At 38.7% G+C, this 10,924-nt stretch overlaps 1 long non-coding RNA gene across 1 annotated transcript in view; it reads left to right on the plus strand.

Annotated features, from left to right (window-relative positions):
* The window catches only part of LINC02098 (long intergenic non-protein coding RNA 2098), a 32,676-nt gene extending 32,245 nt beyond the window's left edge, over positions 1-431 (plus strand). The window contains exon 4 of the long non-coding RNA NR_146647.1: positions 268-431. This is a non-coding gene — a long non-coding RNA (long intergenic non-protein coding RNA 2098). The remainder of the gene's footprint in view (positions 1-267) is intronic.
* The last annotated feature ends 10,493 nt before the right edge of the window (positions 432-10,924 follow it).

Consider the following 10,924-nt stretch of genomic DNA (forward strand, 5'->3'; position numbering starts at 1 on the left):
CCGATACTAAGTTATAATGACCTTTGGAAAGTTCACAAGTTTCCAGGGGTCCAGGATAGTAATTAGCTCTTAATTGTAAAAACAAGTGCTGCTGAAGAACATAAGGTCATAGGAAAATCAGGAATCAGGACTTTGTACAGAAAAAAAAAAGTGAATAAAATAATGTTTATTCATTTATGAATCACTCAGTCATGATTTTCTTTTTATAATATCATCGAAAGAAATAAAATGCCTTGTGTTTAAATTTTCACTATGCTTGTATTTCAGCCTCATCAAGAGATACTACCCCTGATCTTTTCATTTCACTTTCCTCGGGTCTGCCTAAACTCAGTGTCTCTCCTAGAAAACCACCCAACTCATGAAAAACTGTTTGTAAGAAAATGTTCTCAACACAAAGAAATAATAAAGGTTTGAGATGATAAATATGCTAATTACCCTGATCTGATCACTATACATGATATGTATGAAAACATCACTATGTACCTTGTAAAATTATTATACGTCAATTAAAAAAAGGGAAAATGTGTTGTGCTTAATTATAATAAGAAAATTTAAACAGATTGATGAGAATTCAAAGTTTTCACTGATGTGAATATTAGTTAACAGGAAAAAAGAACTCATAAAAACTGTTCCATACTTGTTTTACCCCAAAATGTTAATCCATGCTGTTATAGATACCCTGTGAGACACACAAATGCTTTTCCAACTCATTGATTTCAAATCAAAGGGCAAAATATACATTAGTAATGATGATATGCCAAAACGCTCCTTAATGTGAACATCAGTATTTACGTTTTAATGTCAGTTACAAAGATCCCTGGGCGGGCGCGGTGGCTCACACCTGTAATTCCAGCACTTTCGAAGGCCGAGGCTGGTGGATCATGAGGTCAGGAGATCGAGACCATCCTGGCTAACACAGTGAAACCCCGTCTCTACTAAAAATACAAAAAATTAGCCGGGCTTGGTCGTGGGTGCCTGTAGTCTCAGCTACTTGGGAGGCTGAGACAGGAGAATGGTGTGAACCCGGGAGGCGGAGCTTGCAGTGAGCTGAGACAGCGCCACTGCACTCCAGCCTGGGCAACAGAGCGAGACTCCGTCTCAAAAAAAAAAAAAAAAAAAAAAAAAAAAAAATCCCTAAGCAGAGATTTGGGATCCTTTATATTCATGAATCTTTAATTCAGGAGTTCAAGATACCACAAACCGGCCGAGTGTGGTGGCTCATGCCGGTAATCCCAGCACTTTGGAAGGCCAATGCAGGTGGATCACTAGAGCCCTGGAGTTAGCCTGGGCAACATGGGGAAACCCCCCGTCCCTACAAAAAACTACAAAAGTTAGCCAGGCGTGATGGCATACGCCTGTAGTCCCGGCTACTCAGGAGGCTGGGAGGACGGCTTGAGTCCAGAAGGTGGAGGTTATAGTAAGCCGTGAACATGCCACTGCACTCCAGCACGTGCAACAGAGCAAGACCCTCTCCTCTTCCTCTCTCACAAAAAAAAAAAAAGAAATCACAGAACTATATTACTGCATATTTGTTTGTGTACAATTTACTTTTAATGTGACAACTTCTAGTTTCCCAATAAACTGAAATCCTACACTGAAAAAATAAATCCAGTAACTCACAATTATGTGTTTTGGCTGGCCAAGCATGTTTATCATTTTAAAATAAAATACAGTGTTGCAAAAACAGTTGTAGTAGCTTGGCAATTGTGTTTCAGTACTGTAATGCATGGGTATCAGAAGAGATTGGGCAGATTTCAGCACATTAAGTTACATTTTATTATAGTTCATTACATTTAAGAAAAAATTAACTGAAAATGCCATTTTTCTTGTTATCAGCATGGAAAGGCCTCAGTATAATAAGTACCATGAATTGATTTATTGAGCACTTACCATGTGCCAGTCAATTGACACTGTTGTCACGTAGTCTTTTAACATGCCTGTGGAGTAGACAGATTATTTTTATTTACATTTATAGATGAAAGTGAGTTTTGGAGAGGTAAGGTAACTGTACTCAAGTTAAAAAAGAAGAAAAAAGGTAGTAAGTATAGTAAGTAGAGGTTCTGAGAATGAAACCCAGCTGCATATGATTCCTTAGACTATGATAACTTCTCTGCTATTGTCATTTGCACAAGCTGGCTAAAAATAAACAAATAAAAGGAGCAAAACTAAAACAAAGAGATCCCATGCACACAAGATGTGCACATAGACTCCTATACCTAAGGAATCATCATACACTAAAAGCTCATATGTTTCCAGGTATTTTTCCTGAAGAGTTGATGGAAATGTATCCTTTGAAGGGTATAATGTGCCACCAATCCTTACCATTCTCCTCCCTCCCATTGCTCTAGTGTCTTGTGTTTTGAGGTGAGTATCCTGAACCAGACCTCTGAGTAGCTGAGTCTGTAGGTAAAACACACATTCATATCATGGACCCTAAGGAGGCTGTGTGCAAATGTACCCTTTCATTTACACGCTAGATCAAAGGCTGTAAACATCATTCCTGAAGACGCATGTGATCATCTTAGCAATGCTGACGTGTACAAATGTGGATGAAGATCAAATTTGCTTAGAGTTGTCTTTCTTTAGCTATTTCTCTTTTAAAACCTATGCTTGGAGTTTTAAAAGAGTTCAAAGCAAAAGTTAAACAATTTTATACCAGCTCTCATCCAAGATAAGACCAGTAGCATCACCAACACAATCAAAATGGTCCCAAGCAATGTTCCATTTGAGAATTCTTTTACCACAAACTTTTAACCCTCATGTACTTCAGAGGAAAACATTTTGTTTATGCTTATTTCAGCAAACGTTACTGAGTAAAACTGATGGGCTCTTTAAGTTGTTTCACAAGGTTTGATTTTAAATCAAGATGCTATAAATTAAGAAGGCTTTTAAAAATTCAACTTTCTAAAGATGTCAAATTTTACTGGGTATGTTTAAAATCAAAGGAAATGTTCTAAATAATATTTCAACTTGCAAAAGATGTTCAACTAAAAACCTGATGGAAAATAGCCAAGCATGGACAGCTTTACAGTAGAGGGGAGATGAGGCAGGGCTTGTCAGGACTAAATGAGCTATGAAAATCATTCCAATGTGGGTTCCAATAATGGCTGCACAATTGCCTTCTATGAGACCTCTGCTCTTCATTGACTCAGAGGTCAACTTTTAAGAATGTATAGAAGATTAAATTGAGATAAGATATGTAAAATGCCTGGCACATCGATCACATGGATGTATAAATTAAATGTACTACTATGACCAATTAGAGTTCTAGACCAATAGAAAGTGTGATACTAAAACATACAAATTGGAGGGTAGCACATAAGAGTTCAGCTGCTGCTTTCGACAGTTTTTAGCATGCTGCTCAGGAGGTCATCCTTGCAGCAGACTCATCACACATAAAAATCAACAATTCCAATTGGGAGAAAACTGACCCCACTCTCACCCCTCCAAGAGAAGGGTGATGGTTGTACCCTGGAAGGTGTCTGGTCACAGATGGAGAAATTTCTCTTAAAGTCTAGCTCATTTTTATCACATTGGATCCTAGAATGGAAATGGATATTCTTGTGGATAAGCACATTGATGCTAGGTCTGCACTGCCAAAATTCTAATCATGGCTGCCTTCCTCAGATCCAGCTATATAATTTATAGGGCCCAATTCCAAATGAAAATGCAGGGTCTCTTGTCCAAAAATCAGGGGTAAAGTGTCATTATGAGAAAAAAATTAAAATTGTAAATTATTAGCACAAATGTTACCATTCATCTTTACATTGTGCATACCAGTTTAAATGCAAATCTAAGACCATTCAACTTGTGTGCAGAATTACTTAAATTACACAATTTGTCTTCCACAATTCAGATATTCATATGTGTTTTGTTTCTTTCCAGAACAGTGGAAACTGCACTTAACTAACTCAACTGTACTTCTCGATATGTGCACATTCTACCAACACTCTCTATCTTTGGCTTGCTGATAAGTAAGGAAGGACGAAAAGAAAAAGGAATTATGGCTTGCCCCATCTTTCCCTTTCCTTCTATGTCATCATTACAAGCATAAGTAGTTGGCTACTACAGGGAAGTAACATGAGTAAGCAGGGATGTGATAAAGTGCCTGGGCATTCATGTCTCTTAGAGACATGCCACTGCCTTCTGTGTCCAGTGCAAGTTCTGGTTTGAATAGAAAGCGAGACCTCGTAGGGCTGCAGTGCCCATGCTTAGTCATAGATACGACATGCTTACTTTGTGCTTGCTTTGAGTCTCTCTGCACTCTCATGCATTGGGGATCCACTGGAGTTCTGTGTTCAAGGAACATCATCAACACTACATGTGGATGGAGCAATAAAAAACAGCGGACATCCACATTGCCCATACTTCCTCTGCTCACACGCACATTCTTGTCACATTGAGCTTCAATTATAAAACACAAATTCAAAGATAAAATTATTATGACTTCCAGGACAGTAACAGCGGAGCATTAGACCAAACATGCAACCCTTCTGAGAATGGGGCCCTGTGTGATTGGACAGGCTAAACACCCATAAAGTCAGCCCTGTGCTTACTAATTGTGGGAGCTCAGGTATATTTCTAAACCTCTCTGTATCTCAGTTTCTTCTTCTGTAAATTAGGAAAATGATCTTACCTATCCTATCTTATAAATTTGTTGTGAAAACAAGTTTACTAATGTGTAAAGTGCTTGAAATAGTGCCTGGCATATAGCACAATATAATTAATAGCTATTATTGTTATTGTATGATCATCATCATAATTTTTTTTAGTGGGGTAGGATCTAAAATTATGTCCTTAAAATGGTATTCAAGAATAATCCTTGAATTTTATATATCTGTACCATCCTTGTCCTGAAATTATCACAAGGTTTAAAAATTATGTTATAGTACAGTTTCTCTACATTAGCATGATTTACATTTCTGGCCAGATAATTAGTTCATTTTTGTGGGGTGTTATCTTGTAGATTATAAAATATTTGGCAGCAAGCCTGACCTATATCCATGAAAAGATAGTAGTACTCTCTCCCCAGTTGTGACAACCAAAAATGTCTTTGGACATTGCCAAACTTGGGGGGGCAAAATCCTCCTCTCCAATCCCACTCTCCCATTGAGAACCACTGCTTTGTCATTATATAGTATCCATCTGTCCAAGAACATTTAAGCTGTCTTGCCAAACAAGTACATCAAGGGCCAAATACCACCACCACCCACAAGCAGCACTCTCAAACTCTAACATAGCAGGACCCCAAAATGACATTCTCCTTAGGTTAACCACAGTCCTATAGCAATCTGCCTTTTCTTCTCACTTACTGAGCAGGGGGGTTCAAGCTGTTTAAAAAAAAAAAAGTGGAAAGGTTCATTCAAGTCTGGGAACTGTCAAATCTCTGATAAGCCGGTCCAAAGAGACAGAAGTGAATTAGTTCTTGCTCCCAGGATGGGAAGCCCTAGGAGGTATTATTGTCTAGACGATGCTCCAGCCCCGCTCCCTCCTCCCCCACTGCCGAGGACCTTGGCATGCCTCGGCTCAGACAGAGCCCTTATGGAAAGTAACATGAGGATTGTGCTGACTCCAGTGAGTTTGATTTATCAGGACTACTGGCATTTGCAAAAGCAAGTGGTCTGTTTGGATGAGATGTTTCCCAGGCAAAATGAAGAAAAAAATCTGGCCGGATTCTCACTGCTCTTGGAACTTCTGAATGTCATTGATGCTTCTCAGCAGAGCGAAAACAACAGGCATTTTATCTGCAGGAGACTGTAGGTGTCCCAGGCATATGTGGCCCCCATTGCGCATCACCTCCTCGAGCACTTTTGAGTCCTTAACACCAAGAATGTCAACAAGCCCACCCTCTACACTGCTCGACTTTGCTTGTTCTGTAGCCTTCCTCACCACACTCCCCTCCTCAGGCCTCCCTCCATTTCCCCTCCCCCAACTCCAGGTCCACTCCCATCTGTTTTCTGTTAAGAGTTCATTTTCAGAGTGCAGGCTGGTGGAATTCGGAGTTCAGACCCCCTCGAGTGATGAGAGTCCTGGGGCTGCTGAAGGTCCCTTCATGCAGTCCCTGCCACCTCCCCCTCCTTTCCCTCCCTGTGCCCCATTTGCCCTTGTGCAATAACATGCTGGAGCCCACATCTGTTTTCAATTCCATGTTCATTTGAACTGTTCTGGGAAAATGGAGGATCTCACTAAAGGCTAGGGTCTTAAAGCAACAGCATGAATGCAAACAACTTCATTGGACCAACAAAGAAATACATATATATATATATCCTTCCATATGCAAGCTGGAGCTATTTCATGGATGATCTCTGTGTCTACACTGGTTCCTGGATGAGGCAATATATAATTACGGACTCTTAATTCCTTAATTCTTAGTTCCGATGGTCATCTCTTGCCCAATTTCCAATGTGGGAATGTTGCCTGAATTCCATCCACAATCTGAATTAACAGAGTAGATGTTCTCAGACTCCTGTCTTTGGCTTCAGCTTATTGTCTGATCACAACAGTAGATTTTTTTGTTTCCCATTGGAAAAATAATGTAGGATATCCTTCTTCTTCTTCAGAGAAGTCTATTTGACCATAATGAGGAAGCCATTACCTATATCTTACAGGTCACTGCTAAGTTGGGGGAAGAATTAATTTAAAAAGCTTCAGAGTCCAGAAGATCCTGGAAAAACAAGCTGTGTCGTCATAAAAAAAAAAAGCCCTAGTGATAGGAAGTTACCATAATAAAAAGAATTTGTTCTTTGAGGAAATGGGGAACCAAAGGTTGTTTATTTGTCATAATGGAGAATATAATGCTTCTATTTCATCCCTTCTCCAAAAACAGCCTGAATGTTGCATGCCCCTGCATCCTTTGAGGAACATCCAAGTCACAGGTACAAGGAGAAGAGAATTATTAACTCAAGAAGTATTCATGTTAATTTAATATTCATATATTCCATATCAATAATGCAACATTCATTTATTATGTACCTTATATATAACAATATGTGATATCCCACCCTGACAAATATTTGTGGAATAATTATACATTCATATGTCTTACAGGTTATATATGTATATATATATATACACACATTTATTCAACAAATACTGAGACAATATATAATAATAACCCTAATGTATAATTAACTATATATAGTATGTAGCTATTATATGAGTAATGTAAATATATACAAACATGTTGAAATGATGCATATAAAATTAATGTAAAATTATATTCTAGAATGTATAGAATAATCAATATATAATAGATTCATATATACTAGTGACATTCATTCAACAGCAATTTAAGGCACTGTAGCTTGGTAGTTTAGAATTTGGGCTCTGGCACCCGGTTTTTCAAGTTCAAATCTTGTTCAAATCCACTTAATTATTGTGTGACCTTGGCAAGTTACTTCACCTAGCTGGGTCGTGATTTCCTCATGTGTGAAATAGATATAATGACATTAGCTACCCAAAAGGGGTCGTAAGAGATTTTAATAAGTTAATCCCCGAAAAAATTCTTTAGAAAACTCTAGCATATGGTTAGAGCTTGATCAACATTAACAGTTATGTGCTCCATCTGGGCAATGCTAGAGTTATGGTCTAGTGAGGGAGACAAGCACTAAAATGGGGTGAAGAAGGTGAAATAAGTGGTAAAGTAGTAGGTGCCACTCATAGAGGAAGGAGATGAGGAGCTTTCTTTCCAGCCCCAGACTCTTTTACAAGAGAGTTCAAGATAGGATTCCTATTTACTGAGAAGTATAGTTACCACTGAGTTGACATCAAGAACCAATATTATTATCAACTTTCTCTATTTTTTATTTGATTTTACATCAATCTGAGGATGTAATTGGCTTGATTCTCACCCAAAGTTAGTAGGTTTTGAGAGAAGAGGGATTTGGGTACTTAAAGTATCACCCGATAGATTTACTGCTTCCACAACAAACCCTACATGTAAAGCTGCTACAAAAAGAATTTTATGTAGTGTCGTCTCTAAAGGTTTTAATCTAATTTTAGGTTGGCATTAAATTTGAAGCCTAAATATTTTATTAAGGAGACTCTCCACAACCTTAATTCAGCTTTTGGTTGGAACTTGGGTTGGATTCTAGAAAGCCTCTTTCTCTCAAATAAAAAGCTCATAGGTCAGGTTTCTATAAATAAATGTCATTTTATTTTCATTCACTCAGTTTCCCAACTAACTCAGATATAATTTCTGATATAATTTCACTTATTGATAATCTCAATCCCCTTCTTAGACCCTGCTCACTTTAACCTGCAGATGTTCCAGAGGGTAAAGGGTGCAAAGGTGTACAGATGAAAAACAAAATATTTTTTTCAGTCCCAGGGCCTGTTTTAGCACCTGTTTGGCACCTTCTCCCAGAACTCATATTTACCCAAGACTTAATAAAATAAATCTAGTTCTTCACCATAAAGTCTATAGAACTTTGAAACTCCATATACTTTAAAAGAATCTCATAACAAAGGACAAAATGTCCTTGAAGAAATAGTAGTTGCTTAATAAGTTCTTCAAAGGAAAACCTTCCATATAATCTTTTTTTTTTAATTAAGAAGGAGCAAAGTTAAAAAAAAAACCCTCCCATATAATGAAAGGAAAAAATACTGGGAAACAAGACCATATTAAATTTGCCCAATGAGGCAGGCTCACAGGGGGAAAAGTAGTGTGCTCAGACCTACTGCTATTGATCATGGTAAGTTTGAAGAAAATGAGATCAGAGAGGGTTAAAAGATTGTTGACTCAAAGAGCAAAGCAGCAATATGACAAGTGCGTTTTGGAAAAGAGACCTGAGTTCAAACCTCATATCTGTCTTTTACTAACTATGTGACCTCGAGTCATTTGCCTAATAAAATGAACTTTATCTTCCCTGTTTGTTCCATGCCACCTGTTTGGCTCCTTGCAATGATTGGCAATTGGTCTCATTAATCTCTGTGAACCATTCCCAGCACATGAGAATTATGAAATGCATGCTACCTGTCCTCATAGGAAATCAACATGTCACAGTAGAAAGAGTACGGCATTGGAATTAGGTAGGTGGAGTTTCAGAGACATGCCATGCGTTGACCTGCTCTGTAATCTTGCACTCAGTTGCCTCTTTTTAAAGAGGGGCTAATAATACCCACCAGGCATGACAGTAATATGAATTAAATCAAATGACACCAGTCTCTGGCTCATAGTATGTATTCAACAGAGGGTAGATATTTTATCACTTCCATGGAACAGAACAGAAGAGAAGTTCCAGTATTACCTCTAACACTGCTTCATTAGGCCCCAACTCAGTGCCCTCCATGGACAACCGAACATGCTCAAATACTCCAGGACAGAAAACCTCAGTCAGCTGGAGAGGTAGGAGAGCTTTATAGAGATGGAAATTTAAGATGATAAAACACTTCACCAGTGGGTGGTAAATATATAGATACCCTATTTCCCAAAATAGCTCTGGGCTTTGGGGTGCCGGGGTAAGCGGGCTACCATCCCACTTCCATAGCTGATAGCAGAGAAATGCCTGCTGGGGACAGAAAAGCTAGAGAAATGTGTTTATCTTCCAAGGAATACTTATAAAATAATTGGTGAGGGGGGTCTTCTAGGGTTACGTCGAATGTATAAACTGTTTATTTTTGCAGCACTGATTGGGAGTGCATGGAGAAGGGCTAATGCACTTGGGTTCAATGTTTACTCCTTCTAAGGGGCTGCACCCAGGGTTCATGAATGTGCAGTCATCCTCTTTCTAAAATAGATATTATTCCCCAGTTTTTCTCCAATGATACCAAGCCATAACATCTCACTCCATTTCCCCTCTTTTTAACCCAGTGGGTACAATTGGAAACCAGCAGCCCATCCCACAAAAAATTTAGGGGAATACTCCCATGTGGGTATCCTAAAAGACTCTCTTGTACTCACTCCCACTAATTGGTTGGAGGAGGGAGTGACTGTTTTCAATCAACTCTGCGTTAACTTGAACTTGTCCCTGCATCGAAACATAATGGGGAGGGTATTTTTTCTCAAAAGATTTATCGTAACTAATTAATCATCATGACCATAAAAATCTGTTCATTTTTGTGAGGCATAGAAATTATGTGAAATCTGTCCAATAATGTTCATAAGAGTAACACTGAATGAACGCTGATTAGGCACCAGGCATCCTTCTGAGTACTTTGTAGAGATTAATTTATAAATTATCACAACAGTTATTCTGTGTGATTTAATATTATTATCCCTATTTATAGATAAGGTAACAGAAGTACAGAGAATTTAACTATCTTGTGCAAGACGCTTAAGAAATGAAAGGAGTAAACTATGAATCTGCAATTTGGAATGCAGGCAAATCAGGTCAGGGCCTGCTATTTAAATCCTGCTGTAGAGGACTGCATTTTTACATTGACCATAGAAATGTATTAGACAGAGGAGCATCTAGAAACACTAGAAATCCTGCAAATCCACAAGGTCTAGCTCTCAGCCCTACGAGGAAGGCCCCTCTCCAGGTTTGTTCCTCCCTTGGGTATTGATATTGTTTGGCTGTGTCCCCACCCAAATCTCATCTTGAATTATAGCTCCCATAATTCCCACTTGTGGAAGGTACCCAGCGGGAATTAACTGAATCATGGGGGCAGGTCTTTACCATGCTGTTCTCATGATAGTGAATAAGTTTCACAAGATCCAATGGTTTTTTTAAAGAGGAGTCTGCCCATACAAGCTCTCTTCTCTTGTCTGCTGCCATGTGTGATGCGCCTTTCACCTTCTGCCATGATTGTGAGGCCTCCCCAGCCACTTGGAGCTGTAAGTCCATTAAACTTCTTTCTTTTGTAAATTGCCCAGTCTTGGGTATGTCTTTATCAGCAACATGAAAATGAACTAATACAGGTACACTGCCTCAGTCCTATAGGCAGTAGCTTCTCCCTGGAGCTACTATTTCTGTGTTCTTTA

This window comes from Homo sapiens, chromosome 11, assembly GCF_000001405.40.
Source record: "Homo sapiens chromosome 11, GRCh38.p14 Primary Assembly".
Taxonomy (NCBI): domain Eukaryota; kingdom Metazoa; phylum Chordata; class Mammalia; order Primates; family Hominidae; genus Homo; species Homo sapiens.